Source organism: Homo sapiens, chromosome 2 (genome assembly GCF_000001405.40).
Source record: "Homo sapiens chromosome 2, GRCh38.p14 Primary Assembly".
In the NCBI taxonomy this organism is placed as follows: domain Eukaryota; kingdom Metazoa; phylum Chordata; class Mammalia; order Primates; family Hominidae; genus Homo; species Homo sapiens.
This window is the reverse complement of record NC_000002.12, coordinates 26059389-26086991: the sequence shown is the minus strand read 5'-3', so window position 1 is coordinate 26086991 and position 27603 is coordinate 26059389. Positions and strand designations below refer to the sequence as shown.

Below are 27603 nucleotides of genomic sequence, written 5' to 3'. Positions count from 1 at the left end.
CAGCAGCTTCCCATTCTCCCCTCCCCTCCAGTCCCTGGAAACCACTCATCTGTATTCTGTCTCAGTGGATTTACCTATTTTGGATACTTCATGAAATAGAAGCAAACAACATGTTAGCTTTTGTGTCTGGCTTCTTTCACTTAGTATGTTTAAGGTCCGTCCGTATTATGCAGCACATATTAGTATACCGTTTTTATGACTGAATAATACTCCACTGTATGCGTACACCATAATTTGTCTATCCAATCATCTCCTGATGGAAATCTAAATTGTTTCCACCTTTTGGCTTTTATGAATAGAGCTGTTAAATTCCACCTTTTGGCTTTTATGAATAGAGCTGCTATGAATATGCATATACATGTATTTGAGTATCTGTTTTCAATTCTTTTGGGCATACACAACAGGTGGAACTGCTGAGTCACATGGGAAACCTTAGTTTAACTTTTTAAGGAATTGCCATGGTGGCTGTACCATTTTACATTCACATGAGCAACGTATAAGGGCTCCAATTTCTCCACGTCCTCAATCATACTTGTTACTTTCCTTTTGTGTTTTTAAATAGCCATCCTAGTGGGTAGGAAATGATACCTCATTGTGGTTTTTTATGTGCATTTCTTTAATGACTAATGATGTTGAGAACTTTCCATGTGTTTGTTGATCACTTGTACGTCTTTGAACTCCACAAGTCCTTTGCCCATTTTTTATGAGACAGAGTTTCGCTCTTGTTGCCCAGGCTGGAGTACAATGGTGTAAGCTCAGCTCACCGCAGCCTCAGCCTCCCAAGTAGTTGGGATTACAGGGGACTGCCACCAGACTCAGTTACTTTTTTTTGTATTTTTAGTAGAGATGAGGTTTTGTCATGTTGGACAGGCTGGTCTTGAACTCCTGGCCTCAGGTGATCCACCCTCCTCAGCCTCCCAAAGTGCTGGGATTACAGGCGTGAGCTACCGCATCGGGCCCCTTTGCCCCCCCCCTTTTTTTTTTTTTTTTTTTGGAGACAGTTTTGCTCTTGTTGCCCAGGCTGGAGTGCAATGGTGTGATCTCAGCTCACTGAAACCTCTGCCTCCTGGGTTCAAGTGATTCTCCTATCTCAGCCTCCCAAGTAGCTGGGATTACAGGCATGCGCCACCATGCCCAGCTAATTTTTTTGTATTTTTAGTAGAGACAGGGTTTCTCCATGTTGGTCAGGCTGGTCTCGAACTCTCGACCTCAGGTGATCCACTCGCCTCAGTCTCCCAAAGTGCTGGGGTTACAGGTGTGAGCCACTGTGCCCAGTCTCTTTATATATTTTGGAATCTTAATCTTGATCAGATACATGACTTGCAAATGTTTTCTTCCATTCTGTACCGTCTTTTTACTTCTTTTCTTTTTTTAGAGCTGGAGTGAAAGTTTATTAAAAAGCTTTAGAGCAGGAACAAAGCGAAGGAAAATACACTTGGAAGAAGGTCAAGCTGGTGACCTGAAAGTGCTGTCTTTTTGCATAACTTTTTTTTTTTTTTTTTTGAGACACAGTCTTGCTCTGCCACCCAGGCTGGAGTGCAGTGGCGCAATCTCAGCTCATCACAACCTCTGCCTCCCAGATCAAGCGATTCTCCTGCCTCAACCTCCCAAGTAGCCAGAATACCAGGCGCGCGTCACCACACCCAGCTAATTTTTTTTATTTTTAGTAGAGATGAGGTTTTACCATGTTGGTCAGGCTGGTCTCAAACTCCTGCCCTCAAGTGATCCACCCGCCTCTGCCTCCCAAAGTGCTGGGATTACAGGCGTGAGTCACTGCCCCCGGCCTGTTGTTTCACTTTAATATGCCCTTTGATGCACAAGAGTTCATTTTGATGAAGTCCAATTATTTTATCCATTATTCCTTTTGCCACATGCTGTAGCTCCACTCATTTTGATTTCTGAAATGGGTTGAGATGGAAGAAGTTCCTTGATACTGAAAAATTCTGGGTGACAGAATCAAAGCTAAATTGAACTTTTGCCAACTACAACTAAGAGACTAGTTGTAACTGGGGATAATACAAGCATTTCTAGTACAATGCAATATACACATTCCTAAATAACCCTTTAGTTCTGCAAAATCACAAATTAAAAATAATCAGGCTTATAAGAAAAGTTAGGTTTGAGGTAGTTACTCATAAGCAACTTTGTCCAGAAAACTAAAAATACTAGCACTATTAAAAATACATGAATTCTTAATAAAGAAGCAACCATAAGTATCGAATTTTACCCTTAAAAAAGATGAAGGTAACTCGATGAAAAGGGATATAACGACTGAAACTGAAGGGGTAAAATGTACAAAAATTACATAGAACCTTATAAACTTCCCTTGGCCAAACTGTACCAATGGCAAGGCTGAGGGATGAATTCCATGTGCACACTTTTGTATTCCTCTGGGACATACTGCTGCAATCAACTGTAATAATAATGTACTTGGTATACCATGTACCAAAAACACGTACCATGTACCAAAACATGGTGTACCATGTACCAAAACATAATACACTAGGGAAAAGCACATATGACCCAACATGATTTCCTCATTATTGCGATATCATTCACTTTTTAACAATTGGCTATAAGCTAATTCACATTATAGTAACATGAGTTTCAGTAGGGTAAACCACACTTACTACACACTTGGCAATGAATAAGGCAAAGTCCTTCTGTTGGGGGAACTTATGAAAGGGTATTACCCATTCCCCCCAATTTCAAATCTCTGATGTTAGTAATAATAAATCCTATGAACAAGAACAGGAGGAAGAGCTATCTTATATGAGGTGGTCAAGGAATGACGCACTGAGAGATATTTGAGCAAAGACCTTAAGGTAAGGGAACAGGCCATGTGACTATTTGGGGAGAGTGTTCCAGGCAGAGAAAATAACAAGTACAATGGATTTGACATGCAAATATGTTTGGCATGTTCAAGAAACACAGGGAGCATTTTGAGCAGAGTGATGTGAGCCTTCTAATCCATGAATACGGTATAGCTCTCTTTATTTGGGCTGTCTTTAGTTCTCTCAGCGATATTTTGTAGTTTTCCATGTCTAAGCCTTGCATATATTTTTAAAATTTATCCCCATTTCATTTTCATTTGTTGGATGCTATTGTAAATAATATATTTTTACATTTCATTTTCTCATTGTTTGCTGCTAAACACAGAACTCCAATTGATTAAGCAGGTGCAGCTGCTCACGCCTGTAATCCCAGCACTTTGTGGGGCCGGCGTGGGCAGATCACTTGAGGCCAGGAGTTCGAGACCAGCCTGGCCAACACAGCAAAACCCAGTCTCTACTAAAGATACAAAAAATTAGCCCAGTGTGGTGGCACACACCTGTAATCCCAGCTACTAGCATACAAAAAATTAACCGGGTGTGGTGGCACACACTTGTAATCCCGGCTACTGCAGAGGCTGTGGCATAAGAATTGCTAGAACCTGGGAGGCGGAGGTTGCAGTGAGCTGATATGGTGCCACTGCACTCCAGCCTGGGTGACAGAGTGAGACAAAAGGAAAGTACAGGGAAGGAAAGGAGAAAGGAGGGGAAGGTTTTGGGGGAGGGGAGGGAAGAGGGGAAAGCTGAGGGGGAAGGGAGGGGAGGGGAGAGAAGAGAGAAAAGAGAAAAAAGAAAAATAATACAATTGGTTTTGGTACACTGACCTTGTATCCTGCAACCTGTTACATTCACTTATTAATTCTAGTTGCTCTTTTTTTGTGGAGAAGGTAGGTTATTTAGGATTTTCTATGTATATAACAACACAGTCTAAATAAAGGCACGTTTACATCTTCTGACTTATTTCTCTTGCTTTATTTTATTATCTACAACCTCTAATATACTGTTGTTCTTTATTTGACCTTAGGAAGCTCTAGACTAAATGCTCTGCCATTAAAGTGTGTTAACTGTACAAAATTTAGCACATTAAACAAATGTTCCTGTTCCTAGATTCCTGAGTTATCATGAGGTGTATTTCATCAAATGCTTTGTCTATGCCTACTATGATGGTATGATTTTTCTTCTTTACTCCATTAAGGCAGCTAATTACTTTGATTTTAAATGTGAAACCAACCTTGCATTCCTGGAATAAAGTCCATTTGAGTCATGATGTATTATTCTTTTCATAAATTCCTGGATTTGGTTTGCAATTATTTAGTTAATAATTATTATGTTCTTGAAAAAAATCTCTATGTTCATTAGGGATAGGTCATATCTTTAGTTTTAGTATCCAAGACAAGGCTGATCCCATAAAACAACTTGGAAAGCATACCCTCTTGCATTTATTGGAAGAGTTTAAGATTCATATTGTTTCTTCTTTAAACATTTGATATAAATCACCAGTGAAGCCATTTGGGCCTGAGGTTTCTTTCAGAAAGGTTTTAAATTAAGATCTCATTTCTTAAATATATGTCTACTTATTCTATCAATTACTAAGAGAGGACTGTTAAAATATCCAACTATACAATTATAGATTATTTCTCCTTCCAATTCTGTCAGTTTTTGCCTCAAGTATTTTGATATTCTGTTATTAGGTATATATGACAAACTGACCCCTTTATCATTATAAAAAGATCCTCTTTATTTCTAGAAATATACTCCTTGCTCTAAAATCTACCTTGTCTAATATTAATATAGCACTCCAACTTTAAGATTTGGTCGCTGATTAGATGTGCCCAGTATATTTTTTAGTAGTTTCTCTAAGGCTCATAATAAACATCGTAACTAGAACCATCTACCTCCAAATGGTATTATACCACTTTTAACATAATATAAGAACCTTACAGAATTATACTTCCATTTTTTCCCCTTCCCATCATTGGGCTATTATTGTTTTTTAAAATTTCTTTGTTACACTTCTACATTTTACTGCTAAGTGCTATAAATCCTATAAAACATTAAAATATTTTACTGTAAACAATTATCTTTTAAATAAATTAAAAATTGAGAAGAAATATTTTCTATTTCCACACATTTTTACCATTTCCTGTCATCTTCATTCCTTTTGTGTAAGTTTCGATTTCCATCCGGAATAATTTTTTTCAGGCTAAAACACTTCCTTTAACATTCCTTAAAAGCACAGGTAAAAAATTCTCTCAGCTTTTGTCTGTCTGAAAAATGTATTTTGCCTTTATTAATGATATTTTTGTCAGGAATGAATTCTAAATTGATAGCTTTTCCTTTCTGAACTTAAATATTACTCCATTGTCTTGCGGCTTACATTGTTTCCTTTTTTAAATTCCTTTTTTGAAAGTAAATTTAAGAAACTTTTTATTTCGAAATAACTTTCCAGAGAAGTTGAAAAAATAGTACGCAGTTCACAAATACCTCTTTATCCAACTTCTCCTGATGTTAATAACTTATATAACCCAAGTACGTCAATCAGAAACAGGAAAATAACATTGGTGCAATTAACTAAACTACAAACCTAATTCGCCAGATTTAACTTTTTTTATGTTTCAGGATCCAATTCAGGTTCCCACATTGCATTTAGCTGTATGTCTCCTTAGTCTCCTCCAACTTAAGACAGTCCCTCAGTCTTTCCCTTTCTTTCATGACCTTCATACATTTAACAGTCAGGTATTCCATAGAATTTCCCTCAATTTAGGTTTGTTTGCATTTTGGGGTGGAGGAGTCAGGAATGTCACAGAACATCACAGATATGAAGTTTTACCTTTCTCAGTTGATCATATCAGGGAGTACAAACTATGAACAGATCTATTACTCCATTTTCACGCTGCTGAGAAAGACATACCCAAGGCTGGGTAATTTACTATTGAAAGAGGTTTAATGGACTTACATTTCACATGGCTGGGGAGGCCTCACAATCAAGGCAGAAGGCAAGGAAGAGCAAGTCACATCTTACATGGATGGCAACAGGCAAAGAGAGAGCTTGTGCAGGGAAACTTCCATTTTTAAAACCGTCAGATCTCATGAGACTTATTCACTATCACAGGAAAGACCCGTCCCCATGATTCAATTACCTCCCACCAGGTTCCTCCCACAACATGTGGGACTGTGGGAATTACAATTCAAGATGAGATTTGGGTGGGGACACAGCCAAACCATATCAACAGCCAGACCATATCAACAGGTCTTATTACTAGTGCTATTAACCCTGAATACACTTCAAATACTTGGTTAAGGTGGTATCTACAGAGTTTCTCTCTATTGCAAATTTACTGTCTTCCACTTGGTAATTAATAAATTTCTTGGGAGTCAAGCGCCTGTAATGCCATTGCTTTGGGAGGCCAGGAGTTAAGAGACCAGCCTGGGCAACAACATATAGCAAGATCCCATCTCTACAAACAAAACACAAAACAAAACAAAACACTAGCCAGGTGTGGTAGTGTGTGACTGTAGTTCCAACTATTTAGGATGAGCAGGAGGATCACTTGAGCCCAAGAGTTCAAGGTTACAGTGAACCATGATTGTGTCACTGTACTCCTGTGTACATTTGATGAATAATGGTTAGGTATTGCATAGAATTTCCCTCAATTTAGGTTTGTTTGCATTTGGGGGTGGAGAAGTCAGGAATGTATCACGACAAAAAAAAATTATTGGAGAAGATCCTTTCAGACTAAATAATTATCATGTTTCTCATCATATTTTTGCCCACTGATTTTACATTCCATTCCTGGCTCCTGCCGCAACAATTTTTAGTGTAGTATTTGCCTAACAGTGATTCGGTGTTTCTCTCATTCTTTTTACAGTTCTTAATTGAAATTCTGCTTTTGCAAGTTGTTTCTTCCACCCCATTCATTTGTTTATTCAATTATTTATTTTTGCTACTATGGACTCAAAGATATTTTATTCTATTGGTTTTAATTCAATACTACCATTATTTCATTCCAGCTCTGGCCATTAACAGCTCCTTCAAGCCAGCTCCTGTGTACTTCTAACATGTCCCATCCTTTTCTGAGCACTTCTTTGTTTTCTAGAATCACAAGATGTTCCAGGATCATTCTGTATTTCTCCTACCCCAGCTCTGAAATAAACAAGTTCTTCAGGGGCCCTAGTTCCTTTTATTAAGAAATTGTATTTAAGCCGGGAGCAGTGGCTCACATCTATAATCCCAGCACTTTGGGAGGCTGAGGCAGGTGGATGGCTTGAGCCCAGGAGTTCAGCCTGGGCAACATAATGAGACCTCGTCTCTACAAAAAATGCAAAATTTAGCCAGGCATGGTGGCACATGCCTGTAGTCCCAGCTACTAGGGAGGCTAAGGCAAGAGGATCACTTGAGCCCATGAAGTTGAGGCTTCAGTGAGTTGTGATCCCACCACTGCACTCCAGCCTGGGTGACAGAGTGAGACTCTGTCAAAAAAGGAAAAGAAAGAAGAGAAAAGGGAGGGAGAAAAGGGAGGAGGGATGGAGGAAAGAATTGTATTTATAGTCCAAGATCTGGGCATTAAGTGTCTTTACTGCTACCTCAGCATCATTTCTTCTATGACTTCCCAGCAGAGAGAGGAAATATTTACATTTACGTATCTATATTGAACCATGAGTTCATACTGATACCTCCAATTCCAATCCAATACCACAGTTCATTCTAGCCTTCTTCCTTTCAACTTCTTTCTTCAACAACGAGAAACCCAGCTGTCATTATCTACAAATTTTTACTTAAATGTTTAATCCTAGTATGTGTATATAGTGTGTGTGTGTGTGTGTGTGTGTGTGTGTTTGTGTGTGTGTGTTTCAAACTTGCTAGCTCCTACCCCCACTCCGTGAGGAACCAGATTTGCTAACTAGAATAAAATACATGTATGTGGTTCTTTTTATCTTTAGCCTTACAGTATGTAGTTCACAAAAAAATTTTTTGAGATGGAGTCTTGCTCTGTTGCCCAGCCTGGAGTGTAATGGCACAATCTCAGCTCGCCACAACCTCCGCCTCCTAGGTTCAAGCAATTCTCATGCCTCAGCCTCCAGAGTAGCTGGGACTACAGGTGGGCACCACCATACTCAGCTAATTTTTGTATTTGTAGTAGAGGCAGGGTTTTATCATGTCACCAGAATGGTCTTGAATTCCTGACCTCAGGATCTGCCCACCTTGGCCTCCCAAAGTGCTGAGATTACAGGTGTAAGCCACCACACCTGGCCAAGTCAAAATATTTTCCAAAGTTTCTTTTATTCTTTTATTCTTCCTCAGTGTGATTATGCTGTTCATTTGTTTGGCTTGCAGTGTTTCTGAGAAAAAAGTCAACAGCTCCTATCTTTGCTCCTCTATATAATATGTTCTTTTTTTACTCTGGCTTTTAGTAACTTGACTAGGATGTGCCTCAATGTGATTTTCTTCGTATCTACCCTACCTAGGTTCATCAGGTCTATAGCCTTCATCATATGTGGAAACTCTAGCTGGCCATTATTTCTTCATACTTTTTCCGCAACCCCTCCCCTCTTTTCCTAGACTCCAATTACATGTATCACCTCAGAAATCACCCTAGTCCTGCCTACTGAGCAGTAAATACCTGTCAAAAATCAGCTGACCAGAAATCTAAAGTTTTATTTCTGGATTCTCAATTCTATTCCACTGATCTGTACATCTGTTCTCAGGCTAGCACCACACTGTCTTATTACCACAGCTTTCTTTTAAGCACTGAAATCAGGAAATTTGAGGCTTCCAACTTTTTCTTTTTCAAGACTGTTTTCATTATACAGGGTCCTCTGTATTTCCATATGAATTTTAGGAGCCATATGTCAATTTCTGTAATCAAAATTTTGATAGGAATTGCATTGACTCTATAGAGCAATTTGGGTAGCATGGCCATCTTAACAATATTAAGTCTTCTGGTCTACAGACATTGGATGCCCTTCCATTTACTTAGATCTTTTAAAATTTCCTTCAACAATGCTTTCTAGTTTTCATTAAGTCTTATACTTCTTGTGTTAAATCTATTCCTAGGTATTCTTTTTGATGCTACTGTAAATGGAATTGTCTTACTTTAATTTTTGGATGATTCACTGCTAGTGTACAGCTGATTTTTGTATATCTCATCTACAGACCTTTACCTTTTTTATTTATTTTTTTTTAGACGGAGTCTCGTTCTGTCGCCCAGGCTGGAGTGCAGTGGCGCGATCTTGGCTCGCTGCAAACCCCGCCTCCCGGGACCAAGTGACTCTCCTGCCTCAGTCTCCTGAGTACCTGGGATTACAGGTGAGTGCCACAACATCCAACTAATTTTTTGTATTTTTAACAGAGACGGAGTTTCACTGTGTTAGCCAGAATAGTCTCTGTCTCCTGACCTCGTGATCCGCCCACCTCAGCCTCCCAAAGTGCTGGGATTACAGGCCTGAGCCACTGTGCCCAGCCTCCCATCTACAGACTTTAAGCAGGGTAGCAATTCTATTCTGAAGTTCCTGCACATTATACGGCATTAAAATTGTATTACAAATTAAAACAAAAGTCATTCTAATAAAAAAGTCATCCAAGTAAACAAAAGAAGCTGACATTACACAGTAATGTATCATAAATTCTTAATGCCTAAAAACTGTTGAATCAATAGATGTAAGTCAGAATAAAGAAAGTCTTGTTTGTTACGCATTATTTTAGAAAGATTCATAAGGTCATTAAGATTCTCAGAAATCTGATGAATTCCACAGTACCAGCTAATGGACAATAATACAAAAGCAAGAGAAGCAACACCACAAAAGCAGGAAATTAATGTGTTTCTCTATGCACAAAAGATGTGTTGACTTTCACACTCCACCAGAATAAGAAATTTTCTCATTTGACAATTTAAAATTTCCTTTAATATCTATATTTGTAATACACATGTACTTTTAACAAAAAAATAAACAATTTACATTTCACACGATTTTTTAAAAAATCAAATGCTTTGAAAAAGTAAAACACAATCATGTCTGAATTATTTCGAATTCAAAATTAGTGTAGTAGAAATTAATGCAGATTTCACAAAAGTCCTAAGATGTATATCCAGAGGTGGTTTTAAATTTGGCATGTGTAATTAATTCCTTGAGTTCCTAATGAATTCCTTCATTTCTTTTATTTCTGAGCTCTCTTTATAGTGCTATTTTGACACTTTTCTGTTTTTTTTTTTTTCTCTTTTTTTTTCCTCGCTCTTGTCCCCCAGGCTGGAGTGCAATGGTGTGATCTCGGCTCACTGCAACTTCCGCCTCCCGGGTTCAAGTGTTTCTCCTGCCTCAGCCTCCCGAGTAGCTGGGATTACAGGCGCCTGCCACCACGCCCAGCTAATTTTTGTATTTTTAGTAGAGATGGGGTTTCACCATGTTGGCCAGGCTGGTCTTGAACTCCTGACCTCAGGTGATCTGCCCGCCTCTACCTTCCAAAGTGCTGGGATTACAGGCGTGAGCCACCGTGCCTGGCCTCTTTTGACACTTTTCTAAATATAGGAGAAACTTTTTTGTGTAAAAGAACTGAGTAAGTAGATTCTGCGATGAAACCCCATTTTGCCGCTTTTGCTGTCACCTCCACTATCTAATACTTTGGGGGCACCTTCCAAAATAAGGTGTTCTCCAGAACATGGCAGTATCTTATGTCCTTATCAGGAGGAGATCATTGAGAGTAATCCTGCCTCAAATAACTACCTGGATTCCTACAAAGCTACTCCCAAAAAATTGTGATGGTGTCAGGTTACAAACTACACACCAATAAGCAAATACAAGTTTAATGTCAACAGTAGATTCACTTTCAGAATTAAGAAAAGCAGTACAGAAGGTAGTAATTAAGAGAATTCAGAAAAACATGGTCTCTGGCTCTGCCACATTCTAGCTTTGTGGCATCAGGTGAAATTTTAACTTCTCCAGGTCTCTGTTTTCCCCACCTACAGTGGGTATTATCATTTCTATCTCCAATATGTTATGGGGATTAAATGAGATCATGTGTAGGAAGCCTAGGACAGGGCCTGGGTACATAAACAGCCCTCAATTAAGCTATTAAATTCTCTTGCTTCTGGATACTACTCTAGCTACTCAATTTCAGCCTTCTCCCAATCCATCCCTTTGCCACTAGTGAGCCAAATGTCTGCCTTCTTTTTGGCCTGCCCTTATTGATACACCTCCCTGATCCAGCCCAAACTGTATCCCAAACACCATGACTCTCAGGTCAGCAACTCTATTCTCAATTTTCTCAGAACCTGCTTACTTATCTCCTAACCCCCTGCTTGTCTTCCACCCCCTAACCCTCCACCTTTTAAGGACATTTGTAAGTTTTCATATTTTTCTACATCACTGAAAAATGAATTCAGATATTATCCTTAAAGGCCACCAAATCCTCAGAATTCAAGACTTGTTGATTAACTGTTTCAAATTTATTAGTGCATAATGCTTACTTCCCACATAATGTCATGACAACTTGTCCCTTGGTCATGATTATTCTGTATTAGAAGAAACATAACCACTTTAAATTCCTGCTGATTTGTTTACCTCCGTCCTTCTCCCCTTCTAGCTTTCAGTTCAGGTTTTATGTTTTCCTTTTAAAAAATTTTGTAAAACCTTTCAAGCAAACTGTTCTTGAGCTTTTTTTAATCAGAGAGACAAAACATCTGCTTAAACAAGTTAAACCTGTGCTTATCCATTCAAGACCCCTCCAGTCAAAGCACAAAAACAGTTCATTCCAACAAAGAGGGAGGAGGTGGGTGGGAAGTATCTTCAAACAGTATCGGGCAATACATGACTTAATGGAAGAGATAAGGACTGTTCTCCCTGTTGGAGAAAGAAAGAATAGCTCTACTTTTGGTACTAAAGAATTTAGGGTACAATGATTTGCTAAGAAAGTATGACTGGGAAAAAAAGAGACAGAAAGGTACTAGGAAAAATTGAACACAATGTTCTTTAATTCCTTACCTATATTTTACCTTCAACTTATCTCACCTTGGCATCTTTTGTATTTTGCTCTCCAGGAAGCCTGTACTCTGATAATACTCCATCTAGCTGCTCCAAAATTTAGAACCAGTCCAGTCTCTCCAAGAGCTACCAATTAATCTTATTTTCTACTCCCAAGAAATGTGAGAGAAGAACTTCGACCTTTCCCAAGTTTCTGTCCCTCCCAAAAGTCCTTGGCTTTTATTACTGTTTTTATTAACATTTATAGTGCTTACTATATGCCAGACCCGTTCCAAGCATTTTACAAGCATTTACTCGTTCGATCCTCATAACAGCTCTTAAGGAGTGTTATAGATGAGAAAAACGAAGGCAGAAGGAAGTTAAGTAACTTATTCAGGCACACGAGGTTAATAAGTGACATGAGTTCGACTCCAGATCCCATGCTCTTAACTATGAATGCTCCTTCTCACTTTTTTCAACATTTAAAGGCCAGGTGCAGTGGCTCACGCCTGTAATCCCAGCACTTTGGGAGACCAAGGCGGGTGGATCACCTGAGGTCAGGAGTTTGAGACTAGCCTGGCTAACATGGTAAAACCCCATCTCTACCAAAAATACAAAAATTAGCTGGGCGTGGTGGCAGATGCCTGTAATCCCAGCTACTCGGGAGGCTGAGGCAGGAGAACTGCTTGAACGCAGAAGGCAGAGGTTGCAGTGAGCCAAGATCATGCCACTGCACTCCAGCCTGAGCGACAAGAGTGAATCTCCATCTCAAAAAAATAAAATATTAAAATTAAAAAAATAAAATACTTTAAAAGTACACTTCTCACCGTTTCTAGGCCCTCAATTCCACAATCACTTGCTTCCAATCCCAACTATACAATTTGATTAGAGATAAGCTGTTTAAAATATTTTAAGTCATCTCTAATTTGCCTTCATTCCACCATTTATAATCTAGAAAGTTCTCAAATCTGTTTCATTCAAAATACTCTTTGTAAGGGTCTTTTCTCCACTACCATACCATCATCTCAGGCTCAGATTACCAATGACCTCCAAGGCAATCTTCCTGATACTGTCTCCTCTTCTGTATCATCCTGCATTTTCTCATCATTCTGATCTTAATATAAGATGCCTTTCATCATGTCAATCTTGCTGACGTTTCTACTAGACAAAGTCCAAATTCCGTTGCCAGTTTTTCACAGCACTCCACATAAACTGCCCCTGGTCTACATATTCAACCTGATTTCTCATTGCTCTAAAATATATAACATCCTCTAAACTGTAATCAATGTACCCATTGTAATCTCCCTTTATTTATATTGATCAACTAACTGCCTAGAAACCCTCCGATTCTATTCAGTCAAATCTTATCTACATCCATTTTTAGTTTTCTTCATAACACTTGAGCTCGAATCATTCCCTTCTGTACTTTTTCCTCCCTTTACTACAGTGTAATATGGCAACCAGACTAGGAATTGGAAGGTAACTGTGGAGTCCTTTCTTATTTATGCAGTGTTCATAGCTGACTGTAACTATCTGATGCTCTTAGCACTGTATTTACTCTTCTGTTTTCTTATCTATGCTGCCAAGCTCTGAAAGCCTACAAACTACATTTCCCAGACTCCCTTGCAAGCTGAGTTCTGGGTAGGTTCTGCCAATGAAAGGAACTGGCAGAAAACTAAAAAGTAGGACAAAAGGAAAATCCATCTGATCCTGGTGACAGCTACAACATAGTCAGTGGCTGTGGCTTGAGCTCATAGGCAACACAATGGTGGGAAGCCCAGTACAATGGCAATAGCCCAATAGTTTTACCAGTAGTAACAACGAGAACAGTTCTTGCTTAATCAGCAAAGGGATACCTCTAGCAGCTCAGCAACAAGTACAGGTTTAGGGAGATCCAGTCCAGACAAAACAGCAGTTTGCTGATCTCTGGTTAATAGCCCCTTCTCCCATTTGTTCCTCTAGCCCTTCCATCACTTTTGAAACAATTCCTGCATTAAATCCTTCTCTACTTTTAAAATCAACAACACTATTCCCAAATCAAACCTGAAGTGGTTCCTGTTTTTCTGATGGGACACTAACTACCAATACACACCAAATCTCTTACTCTCTCAAGCTTAAGAGATAAGCTTGAGATAAATCTCATCACTGAAACTTGGATCAAATCTATTACATAGAAGCAATGAAAGAAGTACACCAATGCTTCTCAAATTTTTTGTTCTGCAAACTCCTTTACACTCCTCAAGTTCCTGAGGATCTCAACAAACTTTTGTGTAGGTTCTATAAATTCATATTTACCATATTACAAATTAAAACTAAGAAAACAATTTAAGTATTTAATGCAATTTAAAATAAATCCAATCCATGTTAACATAAATGACATTTTGTTAAAAATTACTATATTTTCCAAAACAAAACTGCAACTTTAATGTTTAGCTTAATAGATAACACTTGGATTATACCTGCTTCTGCATCCAATTTATTGTAATATGCTGTTTTGGCTGATGAAGCATACAAAGAATATGAAGTATATGAAGAAAATCTAGCTACAAACAGATATGTTGCTAGAAAAGGGAGGAGTATTTTAAGAACCTATTCAGATAATCCTAAACATTATTCTTCAACACTACAAAGCTCAGCAAGTAATTTCTTTTTTTCTTCTTTTTTTGCATGAGTCACAAGGAACAAGCAGTAATTTCTTAAACATTAGTTGCAAGGTAGAATCTGAAACCCTGTCAATGGTGTTTTCATGTTCTATTATTATTTTTATTATTATTATTATATATGTATTTTTTAGATGGAGTCTCACTCTGTCGCCAGGCTGGAATGCAGTAATTTGATCTCAGCTCACTGCAACCCCCACCTCCCGTGTTCAAGTGATTTTCCTGCCTCAGCCTCCCGAGTAGCTGAGAATACAGGTGGGTGCCACCATGCCCAGCTAATTTTTGTATTTTTAGTAGAGACCAGTTTCACCATGTTGGCCAGGATGGTCTCAATCTCTTGATCTCATGATCCAGCCGCCTCGGCCTCCCAAAGTGCTGGGATTACAGGCGTGAGCCACCGCACCCAGCCATGTTCTATTATATTAAAATCCATCAGTTACTTTGCACTCTGAATAGGTCTTTTTATCTGCGCAATTTTATAACAGCATGTATTGGTCATTTGGAAATTAATAGTTCATTAACACAGTTCTTCCAAATGTTGGCGTATTTCATTATACAATATGAAAAAAATAATATTATCACCATGGACCTCATCAAGAGAGTATGTACAGAAAAGCTGTCACACTCACAGCAGCAGACACAAGTTTTCCAAATATATTTTATTTATTTATTTTTTTAAGAGACTGAGTCTTGCTCTGTCACCCAGGCTGTAGTGCAGTAGTGTAATCACAGCTCACTTCAGGCTCAAACTCCCAGGCTCAAACAATCCTCCCGCTTCAGCCTCTTGGGTAGCTGGAATTACAGGCAAGAGTGACCTTGACTGGCTCAAAATTCCAAACTTCCTTTTTTTTTTTTTTGAGATGAAGTCTCACTCTGTCACCCAGGCTGGAGTTGCAGTGGTGCCATCTTGGCTCACCGCAACCTCTGCCTCCCAGGTTCAAGCAATTCTCCTGCCTCAGTCTCCCAAGTAGCTGGGATTACAGGTGCCCACCATCATGTCTGGCTAATTTTTGTATTTTTAGTAGAGATGGGGTTTCACCATGTTGGCCATGCTGGTCTTGAACTCCTGACCTCAGGCGATCCACCCGCCTTGGCCTCCCAAAGTGTTGGGATTACAGGAGTGGGCCACCGCGCCTGGCCAAAATTCCAATCTTAAAAGCATAAATTTTATCAGTGGCAACAAATACTGTCACTTCATTCATTCAAGACAGTATCTGCCAAGGACTCAAGTCTGAATAACCATAGTTTGCCAGTTGTTCTTTCAAGGATAAATGATGTTCTATAAAAATGGTGGCCAATCCAAACAATTTCACAAGTGCCTTTGCTTGAGACAACCATCACTGTCTCAAAACGAGGCAGAAGTGCTTTATATTTACCTCCCATTTCATCATACACCAAAAAGATATATGCTCAAAGGTCAAGATTTAACAAAAATTAATTCTACTTCATCAAGGATATTCTTGAGGAAAATTATTTTAGTTTTCTCTTGTGAGTACATGGTGGTAAATACAATGACTACTAGTCCAGCTTGGTTCCATTGTCTTGATTCATGCTAAGGTCAGCAATTTTACATACCATTGCTTCTGTACCATCAGTACAAGCATCAACATAGTGAAAAAGGCAAATGTCTTAGAATTATTATGAAAAGTTTTGACCTTCTGGTCAAAAAAACTCCCTAGGTGGTGGTCAGTGGGGATCCACATGTTGAAAACCACTGAGAAACAATTACATTTGGTGAGAATTTACATGCCATACAATGGGATGCTTCTATTATGTATTCATTTGCTCCTTGCAATAATCTTAAAAGACATTTTTTAAACTGTAAGAAAATTTAGGTGGAACCAAAAGACAAATCCAAATGTTTCTATAATTACAAAGCTTTCCATCGCTATGTTTAAGATTTGGCTCTGATATATTTGTCATATTATCAAGGGCAGGTCATTAAACTCTGCTTCCTTACCTGTAAAATGATAATAGTTACCTACATAGCTTGCCCTCTTCATAATATTGTACAAGGTTCACAAGAAGGAAAACAGTACTCTAAAATTTTTCTTAAACTATTTTAAGTATGATGAAACGAACAAAACTCAATTCCGAGAATAAAAAAATCCTTGAGGTTCAAAAAGATAGTCACTTTAAGTGACTGTGAAAATGTACCTATGTTTTAAAACAGGTGAAAAACAGATAAAACCAGATTTAATACTACTTCACTGAAATCACACAACTACTTGATTTAATCTAGTCTTTTCCCACCATTTCCTTTTGAGCTCTCAAGCATATCTGCCTGTAGCAAGTTCTCATCTGCACACGTCCTAGAAAAGCCAAAAGCAAATTCTCTACTCTGAAAAACTGAGGCCAAGAAGGCCACATCCTGTGATAAAGCCAAGGACGCATAATTTCAAGTCCAAGGATCTCTAGAAGAATTCGTGTAGCTGCACATCCATTATAGCTCAATATAACACAATGCAGAGTGAATATAAATCTAAGACTGACACACACACACCTCCCCCAAACCAAGATTATTGTCAAAAGTATCGGAGGCCAGGTGCGATGGCTCACGCCTGTAATCCCAGCACTTTGGGAAGCCGGGGAGGGCAGATCACTTGAGGTCAGGAGCTCGAGAGCAGCCTGGCCAACCATGGCGAAACCTCATCTCTATTAAAAACACAAAAATTAGTGGGGCATGGTGGCACGTGCCTGTAGTCCCAGCTACTTGGGAGGCTGAGGCAGAAGAATCACTTAAACCTGAGAGGTGAAGGCTGCAGTGAGATGAGATCATGCCACTGCTCTCCAGCCGGGGCAACAGAGTGAGACCCCATCTCAAAAAAAAAAGTATCTGAGTAGTTGTTTTTCCTTTTTTCTTTTTTTTTGGGGGGTAGGGGGGCAGAGTCTCGCTCTGCCGCCCAGACTGGAGTGCAGTGGTGCGATCTGGGCTCACTGCAACCTCCACTTCCTGGGTTCAAGTGATTCTCCTGCCTCAGCCTCCCAAGTTGCTGGGATTACAGGCGCCCACCACCATGCCCAGCTAATTTTTGTATTTTTAGTAGAGACAGGGTTTCACCACATTGGCCAGGCTGGTCTCAAACTCCTGACCTTGTGATCCTCCCACAGTGCTGGGATTACAGGTGTGAGCCACCAAGCCCAGCCAGTTGAAGTTTTTTTAAATGCCCTTCTATTATCCTCAGGATATGTCTCAAAAAGTTTAAATTATAGAAAAAAATCTGTAAATCCCAAAGAACACTACAACTCAGCATTAATCCTAAAACTGTTGGGGTTATCTCTTTTACTAGTGGGAAACATGCAGTTTACTGTGCAACTAGCCAAAGGCCTGCTAATGCTGATGGGACCATTAGCCTCAACCATGGTTCTACTGCAGAAATGAAAACCACCTTACCAAAGCCAACTTTTTGGGCATTAAAATTTCAAAGCATCTCAATGCTGTTCAGAGGGCAAATAGGCTATATTAGACATTAAGAAAGAAATTATCAGTTGAAATTAAGAATATATATGTGAGAGATTACAGAAAAGCTTAAGACAAACTAGAAATTCTTAAATTCAAACTGCCACTAAAATGGAAGGCAGTGCATCAGTAGTTCCTGAGCTATGTGTACTGTATTCTCTCCCCCACGAAGAGATAATCTGCATGAAAACAATAAGTGAAACATTTTTGAAACAGCTCTTTCATCTGACTTCTACAGAAGAGGTAAAATGTGTCATCACTAAATTTGCTTAGCTGGTTTTAAGCCTTGCCCACAACGTCTGAGGAAATGACTCAGCAAGACTCAGCCCATATGTTAACCAGAGTTAAGCGATTAACACAATTAAAGTTAAGCACACATTTCTCAAACACGCCCAATTTACAGATAAAGAAAGAGGCTCAGAGTTTAAATGACTTGCTCAAGCTCACAAACCAAATTAACTATGATCAGAACTCTGTCTCTTGGCTCAGGATTGTCTGATGTATTTGGCACTAAAAAGATCACCTCAAAAAAAAAATTAAAGGCTCACTGTCACAGTCACTGACAGGTATTTTCACATATAATCGCTCATAATCCTTAAAGATTAAATAGTATACAGTAAGAGTTTAAACACATCTTTGATAAGTCTTTAATTAGAAAATTCCAACTCCAATCCATTTTCCACATTTTCTGGGCCAACCATCTTTTAAAAATTGAATCTAACCATGTCACATCCCTGCTCAAACCTTCCATGGAATTCGAATCCTTAGCATGGACTACCAGGCTCTGCACAATCTGGCTCAAACCCACGTCTTCAACATCTATTGCTTCTGCTAGCCTCACAAGTCACATTTGCAACACACATCATCTTTCAGTTCTTTGAACTCAAAAAGCTCCTTTACTAAGGACCTTTTTGTGCCCACTTCCTCTGCCTGGAATGATGTTCTTCTACCTAACTTCTAATCATATCTCATGTAGCAGTATAAATGTCATTTCCCCAGGACAGCATTCTCTAGGCCACCTGACCATCCTCTGAAATAGATTAATTAATAACCTGTTTATTCTCATTTTACTAACTAGAGAACTACTCTGGTTTGATGTTTCTGTTTACTTGATGAACATATATCAACCCCCCAGCAAATTCTGCTGCAAGTATGGTGACCATAAGTCTGTTTGACCTCAAGTCTTCATTTATGATTGGTGTTTCCAAACATCGTGTACAAATCTACTGTCTTAGACTTTACATTTTTAACAAAGTTGCATCAAAATAAGTATTGATGGTTTCACAGACATTGAATTGGTGTTTCTAACTTCTGACAAGGTCTTACACAGTAGTCATGTGAGATGTGCATTGTAAACAGCTATCACATTTTAACACATGATTAAATCTAACAAGATGACTAGTGGTAGTCTGCCTCTTTTCTTAACCCTTTACAAATTTGAAACAATTGACATTTTCCTTTTTAGGACACCAAGTCAATATCAAGTATGGTAACAGGCAGCTAACTCCCTCCTTCAGGTGTTGACAGTTGCTGGAAGGAGAATATTCAAGGCTGTTGCCCCCATCCATCATCTGTGCCATGGCCAGTTCCTCAGCCAACAAGAAGCCATCAAAATACTGTCAGTGAGATCAGTAGGAAACATGGAAAAAATATGTACATAGGAAATGTGTATGAGTGGTCCTTTCATAGAGTATGCAGATACAGTATAAACCCCTTTTGCTACAATGACCTTTTCATTGTTACACAGTGTATATCTACAACTAATCTATGTATTTTTAAATAAGCCCTTTAGATAGCAATGCACTCAAGTATATATTTAAAGTGGTAACAATGACTTCAAGCAGCAAATCTGAAGAAGCATCAACATTTGGCTAGGTGAGGTGGTCCACACTTGTAAACCTAGCACTTTGGAAGGCCACGGCAGGAGGATCACTTGAGCCCAGGAGTTTGAGACCTGCTTGGGCAACATAGGGAGACCCCGTCTCTACAAAAAATACAAAAAATAGAGCGGCATGGTGGCTCACACCTATAATCCCAGCACTTTGGGAGGCTGAGGCAGGTGGATCACTTGAGGTCAGGAGTTCGAGACCAGCCTGGCCAATGTGGATAAACCCCATCTCTACTAAAATACAAAAATTAGCCTGGCGTGGTGGCATGTGCCTGTAGTCCCAGCTACTCAAGAGGCTGAGGCAGAAGAATCACTTGAACCTGGGAGGTGGAGGCTGCAGTGAGCCGAGATTGTGCCACCGCACTTCAGCCTGGGTGACAGAGTGAGACTCCGTATCAAAAAAAAAAAAAAAAAAAAAAATTGATGGCATGGTTTTGCTGTGTCCCCACCCAAATGTCATCTTGAACTGTAGTTCCCATAATCCCCAAGTGTCATGGGAAGGACCCGGTGGGAGGTAATTGAAACACAGGGGTGGTTACCTCCATGCTGTTCTCATGATAGCGAGTTCTCACAAGATCTGATGGTTTTGTAAGGGGCTTCGCTCCTCTCATTCTCTCTCCTGCCGCCCTGCCTTCCACCATGACTGTAAGTTTCCTGAGGCCTCCCCAGCCATGAGGAACTGTGAGTCAATCAAACCTCTTTTCTTTATAAATTACCCAGTCTCTGGTATTTCTTCATAGCAGCATGAGAACAGACTAATACAATCAACATTTAATTCAAAGGCAATAAGCAGTTATTGTAAAATTGTGTCTGAAAATGACAATACATGCAGCTGTAAAAGATGCCTTTACAAAACATTCTATGAAACATAACTTGTAATTAGATCCAATGACTGTTCTTCTAAATTAATCTTTTTTTTTCAATTCCAAGTTTTCTTGTCCACTGGAAAAAAAAATCGGTAATTGTTCATGTTGGCTTCACTAGCAGAAATTCCCAGAGACAACTGATGCAAGTTTATCACTATCATGAGACCTCTTCCATAGAAAAACCATCATCACATTAACTGCTTGATTTCTTTCATCCAATTCATGGAATCAAAATAAAGCTTTTGAAAGTTAACTCTGTTCAAAGTAAAACATCTCATATTACTGTGTATGTTGTGAATTGTTTAAAAACATGTAACACTGAAGATAAAATTTTTGTTTTAGTGATGATGAGAATACAAATATTGGTTAAGTAGACTGTCATGGTAAAAACAATATTCCCACTAAGCTAAAACAAAAAAAGGATAAAACAAAAAATATACTTGAAATGATTATGGAGTATACATTACTCATAACTATATGCAAAAAGACTATAATATTTTACCAACTGAAAGATACGCTGTAGATGTGGAAATGTACAAATATACATAGTAACTGAACTATAAAATCTGTGATCAAGATGACAATTTACATATTAAATACATATAAATGACAGCATGTGATTTCTGTTACATGTCAATGATATTTTTGGAAATGTTTGAGCCTTTGAAGAACTACTTCATAAATCAACTTAAGTGTCCTACAATGGTATCAAGTTTTATAAATGAGTCTTCTGATTTTTGGTTGAATGTTTTTTAAAATCATTAAATATTTTCTAATCAGTTGGAAATATTCAATCAAAGTATTCAATAAACTGAAGTGCCACAAAAAAAAAACCTTCAGGTTTTGAAGTCTTTGGCAAACTGTAGTTGTTGAAAACAAAAGCTTGCAAACAGGGAAGTGCCAAATGAAAGTGTTGACCATTTCCAACTTATCAACCATAAAATACAACTTAGAGGGCTGTAAAAAATTATATTAAATATATATAGCCATACTGGAGAAAACAATCCAGAAAAACACAAGGAACATGGCATTAGAGATACAGCTAATAAAGGCACATGAAAATGCACAAAGAATGATTCTACCTGGGTCATGTTTTTTTTTTCTTTTTCTTTTTTTCTTTCTTCTTAGAGTCATGTTTTTAACAAGCACTGCTGTTTGGTCAGTCAACAAACACACTGAATACTCACTATGGGCACAATGAAAAACTGAGAATGCCTAATGGCTGGAATGACCATGTGACTTATTATCCAAACTGAAACACTCTTTTAAAGAGCCAGCGTCTTGCTCTGTCACCCAGGCTACAGAGCCTGCAGTGGCGCGATCAGAGCTCACTGCAGCCTCTAACTCCTGGGCTGAAGAGATCCTCCTGCCTCAGCCTCCTGAGTGGCTGGGATTACAGGTACACACCACCATACCCAGCTAAGACAGTGAGTGTGTGCGCACATGTGTGGAGACAGGAGTCTTGCTAGGTTGACTACACTGGTCTCCGACTCCTGGCTTCAAGAGATCCTCCCACTTCAGCCTCCCAAAGTGCTGGGATTACAGGCATGAGCCACCACACCCAGCCCAAACTGAAACATTCTTGAAAGAGAAAGAGGGTGTTAAAATGATTACATAATTTGTTGAAATATTTGTTCATCTGTTGAATAATTTGTTCATTTTTACTTATTTAAAAACTATTTTCAGGCTGTGCACAGTGGCTCCCAGCACTGTAACCCCAGCATTTTGGGAGGCCAAAGCAGGCAGTTCACTTGAGCTCAGGAGTTTGAGACCACCCTGGGCAACATGGTGTACACCCCATCTCTACAAAAAATGAAAAAAAAAATTTTTTTTTCCCAAAAAATTAGCCAGGCGTGGTGGCACACCCCTGTAGTCCCAGCTACTCAGGAGGCTGAGGTGGGAGGATTGCTTGAGCCCAGAAGTGGAGGTTGCAATGAGCAGAAATGCATCCCAGCCTGGGTGGCAGAATGAGACCCCACCTCAAAATACAAAAACAAACACTCTACAAAAACTATTTTCAAAAACAGTTGTATTCATTAAAGCAAAAATAAACGTCTGCAATCACCAAAGCAAAAGCTTCTGTGCTTATACATCCTTGGCTTTATCACAGGATTTGGACCTCATTATTATTTATTAATTACAAAGGGGAAGAGTACTTTCAATGAAGAAATATGGCAGGCTATATCCTACCAAAAAGCTCAAATTTATTATCTCCAAAAATAGAACAAAAGGACATTAAGCAGCTCCTACTGGATGAATTGAGAAAGACATTACCACCAAGGCGGGCAGATCAGCTGTGGTCAGGAGTTCGACACCAACCTGGCCAACACATAGTGAAATCCCATTATCTACTAAAAATTACAAAAATTAGCTAGGCATAATGGCACACACCTGTAGTCCCAGCTGCTTGGGCAGCTGAAGCAGGAGACTCATTTGAACCCGGGAGGCAGAGGTTGCAGCGAGCTGAGGTCACGCCACTGCACTCCAGCCTGGGCGACAGAGTGAGACTCTTGTCTCTCCAAAAAAAATGGTGAGAAAACAAATTGTGAAACATTCTATTAAGACTCATCGAAAAATGTCAATGTAACGACTGGATCTGTTCTAGATTAAGGAATATAAAGAGACAAGGCAATTAAATTCAATGCATGATCCTGAATTGAACTCTAGACATCTTACCAGAACCACCACTTGCCAAAATGCAAAAAAGTTGAGGAAGCTTGAATAAAGATTATAAAGTATATGTTATTTACTAATATTAAACTTCTTGCATGTAATGATACTGTGCTTATGTAAGACAATGTTCTTGTTTTGAAGAGGTACATGCTAAAGTATTTAGAGATGAAGTGTCAAAACATCTGTAGCTTACTTTTCAAATTTTCAAATGGTCTAGCAAAAAAAAAATCACATAAAGAATGTGAGTGAGCAAATGTAATAAAATGGTAATAATGAGAAAATCTACATGAAGGGTATATGTTCAATTGCACAATTTTTCCAGAGTATCAGTAGGTATGAAACTTTTCAAAATAAAAAGCTGAAAGGGAAAAGGGACATAAGGAACAGATGGTCCCTCTTCTCCCAGACGATCTGTCCAACATGACTGGAGTCTAAAACTGCCAAGGCTATCTACACAAGAAAGCGAGCCTGAGGAGGACAGTCTAATAGATTGACCATTAGATTTTAAAAATAACTAGATTCCTGATTCTTTTTTTTTTTTTTGAGATGGAGTTTCACTCTTGTCGCCCAAGGTGGAGTGCAATGGTGTGATGTCGGCTCACGGCAACCCCTGCCTCCTGCATTCAAGCCATCCTCCTGCCTCAGCCTCCCGAGCAGCCGGGATTATAGGCGCCTGCCACCATGCCTGGCTAATTTTTGTATTTTTAATAGAGACAGGGTTTCACCACGTTGGCCAGGCTGGTCTCGAACTCCTGACCTCAGGTGATCCACCTGCCGCAACCTCCCAAAGTGCTGGAATTACAGGCATGAGCCACCACACCTGGCCAAGATAACTTAGATTCTTGAGGTTGCTCAACAAACTAACCCTAGAAGTGGCAATTCTTTAGAAGGTTAAAGTTCTTTAAACTTTTTGTTGTTGTTTAAGCCAGTTTGAAGGGTTTTTTTCCTTTCCTTTATTTATTTATTTATTTATTTATTTTTGAGACAGAGTCTCGCTCTATTGCCCAGGCTGGAGTGGAGTAGCATGATCTCGGCTCACTGCAACCCCCACCTCCGTGGTTCAAGCAATTCTCGTGCCTCAGCCTCCCGAGTAGCTGAGATTACAGGTATGCGCCACCAGGTCCAGCTTATTTTTGTATTTTTAGTAGAGTTGGGGTCTCACCAGGTTGACCATGCTGGTCTCAAACTCCTGGCCTCAAATGATCTGCCTGCCTCAGTCTCCCAAAGTGCTGGGATTACAGGCATGAGCCACCATGCCCAGCAGCACTTTTGTAGTTGTGTTTGTTTGGGGAGGAGGGGATGGGCTGTCACTTCCAAATAAAAGCATCATAATACATAGATCCACTGGAAAAAGTATTGCCACCAAAATTACACTAAGGCTATGGAGCAGAGGATGGGCTGCAATGAAGGATTATAGTATTTATATTTTCTATGCTATACAATCTATTACTATGTTTTTAAACTAACAGGCACTACTTTTTAAAATTTAAGTTTAAATATAATTCCAACAAAAACAGATGTATATATTATTGCCTATTATGGGAAATTACCCTTACTATAGTAACTTACCACACACAAAAAAAATTTATTCTGAACCAAAAAAGACATCACATACAGAAACCCCAACTCCACCCCTTTTCCCCAAGCTCCTAGAACCATCAACTGTTCATGGTAAGAGACTTTGCTGTTTCAGCAGGTTCCTTTAAAAGCATATGATGTTTAGCCTGGGCAACAAACTGAGGCCCTGCCTGTATAAAAAAAAATTAGCCAGCTACATTGGAGGCTGAGGCAGGAGGAGCACTTGAGCCCAGGAGGTCAAGGCTGCAGTGACCCGAAATCGTAGCACTGTACTCCAGCGTGAGTGACAGCGTGACATTCTGTCTCAAAAACAAGGGGGGGTGGGGTGGGGAGCAGATATGAAGTGAAGAGAGATGACTACTTAAAATTACTGTTAAGCGAGAAAAATAAGACTGGGGACAATGACTCACACCTATAATTACCGCCCTTTGGGAGGCCAAGGCAGGAGGATTAATGGAAGGTAGGAGTTCGAGACCAGCCTGGGAAACCTAACAAGACCCTGTCTCTACCAAAAAAAAAATTTTTTTTAATTAGTCAGGCATGGTGGCATGCACCTGTAATATTAGCTACATGGGCAGCCAACACGGCTGTGGTGGCCTATTACTGTGCCACTGTTCTCTAGTCTGGGTGACAGGGCAAGACCCTGTCTCTCAAAGGAAAACAGGGCTGGGCACAGTGGCTCACACATGTAATCCCAGCACTTTGGGAGGCACAGGTGGGCAAATCAATTGAGCTCAGGAGTTCAACACCAGCCTGGGCAACATGGCAAAATCCCGTCTCTATAAAAATCACAAAAAATTAGCCGGACCTGGTGGTGTGCACCTGTGGTCCAAGCAACTTGGGGGCACTGAGGTGGGAGGATAGCTTGAGCCCGGGAGGCAGAGGTTGCAGTGAGCTGAGATGGCACCACTGCAATCCAGCCCAGGTGACAGAGCCAGACCCTGTCTCAAAAAACAAACGAACAAAAAAAAAAAAAAAAAAAAAAAAAGACAGAGATAAATGGAAAAAAAAATTTTCAACTGAGTATCAGCTCTTTCAACCTATATTTTTAAAGAAGCAAATCAAGTTATTTTATATAAAGAAACTACATCTAGTCTGTCTATAACCACTCCCAAAATTACATGTAACTGAAGAAATCACTCATCTAGAAGCTATTTTTCAACAAAGTTTTTTTCAAGTAGCAAAATGGAAGCTCTGTAGCCATCTTGAAAGACATTTAAGTCGGGCCAGCAGATTTTTTATTGTTGTGTTTTTGTAACTAGTAAGTTTTACTTTTTTAAAAGAAAATATCTATTTCCAGCTTCTCTGGCATAATGTGATAGAAAGAACATGGTTTCTGGAGTCTGACAGACCTGGATTAGCAATTCTGGTTCTACCACTTACTATTAGCTACATAACCTTCTTTGATAAATTACCTAATGTTTCTAATCCAAAATTTTCTCACTGGCAAAATAAGGATATACAATTTTCCTCAGAGAACTACTGTGAGAACAGGCCGGGCACGTTGGCTCATGCCTATAATCCCAGCACTTTGGGAGGCCGAGGCGGGCAGATCACGAGGTCAGGAGATCGAGACCTGGCTAACACGGTGAAACCCCATCTCTACTAAAAATACAAAAAATTAGCCAGATGTGGTGGTGAGCGCCTGTAGTCCCAGCTACTCGGGAGGCTGAGGCAGGAGAATGGCGTGAACCTGGGAGGCAGAGCTTGCAGTGAGCCGAGATCGTGCCACTGCACTCCAGCCTGGGCAACAGAGCGAGACTCCGTCTGAAAAAACAAACAAACAAACAAACAAAAAAACAAAAAAGAACTACTGTGAGAACAAAATGAAAGAGTAATAGATATAAAAGCACTTCACACAGTGCCAGGCACACAGCAGTTGTTCAATAATTTCCTTCTCTTTCCCCCTCCATATTAGAGAATTCATGGCATTCACACGAATTCACAAATTCTAAATCCAAACAAGCTTCTTCAGACTCTTGCCAATTAAGGAGGATTTTAAAAGACTGGCATTATAAGTAATCTGCCTCTACCTCCAATTCTAGCTATTATTATGTGTTCTTAGAACATGACCATGATGGTATGGCCTGAACTATGCTATGCAATCCCAACCTAGTTATGACAATCTTTTAATATTTTTATTGTGGTAAAAAAAACCCACATAATTTAAAACACATCAAAGCTATTAAAACTTACCACTAACAATTTTTAAGTGTACAGTTCAGTAGCAATTTTCAGTGTTGTGAAACGTATCTCCAGAACTTTTTCATCTTGCAGAATGAAACTCCATACCCATTAAACAACTCTCCTTCACCCCTTCCCTCCCCCAGCTCCTGATAACCACCGATGGACAGTTAAGTTGTCTCCACCTCTTGGCTATTGTGAATAGTGCTGTTATAACATGGGTATGCAAAGATCTCAAAACCTTGCTTTCAGTTCTTTGGGATATATACTTGGAAGTGGGATTGCTGCATCGTATGGTAATTCCATTTTTAATTTGTTGAGTAATTATAATTTTAATACCAAAGTACTCACAATTTTTACCCCAACAAATTTCTGAAATATTTACTTACCATGTGCTTCTCAAATTTTGCATTTAGGTTAAAAAAACAAAATCCCTAAACTAAGGGTTATTCTAATGTATGCTTGCTTATGCTACTAAATGTTAGAAGTTATATTCTAGTACATTGTG

General features: G+C 39.3%; 1 protein-coding gene and 1 long non-coding RNA gene across 3 annotated transcripts in view, besides 1 other annotated feature; both read right to left on the bottom strand.

The window, feature by feature from the left end:
- The window catches only part of LOC105374333 (uncharacterized), a 33343-nt gene extending 6862 nt beyond the window's left edge, over positions 1–26481 (bottom strand). Inside the window, exon 1 of the long non-coding RNA XR_939851.3 lies at positions 11835–26481. This is a non-coding gene — a long non-coding RNA (uncharacterized LOC105374333). The remainder of the gene's footprint in view (positions 1–11834) is intronic.
- Positions 1–27603, bottom strand: part of RAB10 (RAB10, member RAS oncogene family) — a 104170-nt gene that overhangs the window by 50463 nt on the left and 26104 nt on the right. The window lies entirely within an intron of this gene.
- Positions 18245–18294: an enhancer, noted in NCBI's record as "active region_15468". NCBI's record gives its function as "activates an Ori minimal core promoter by ATAC-STARR-seq in GM12878 lymphoblastoid cells {active_cell/tissue: GM12878}" and the evidence as "EXISTENCE:reporter gene assay evidence [ECO:0000049][PMID:35858748]".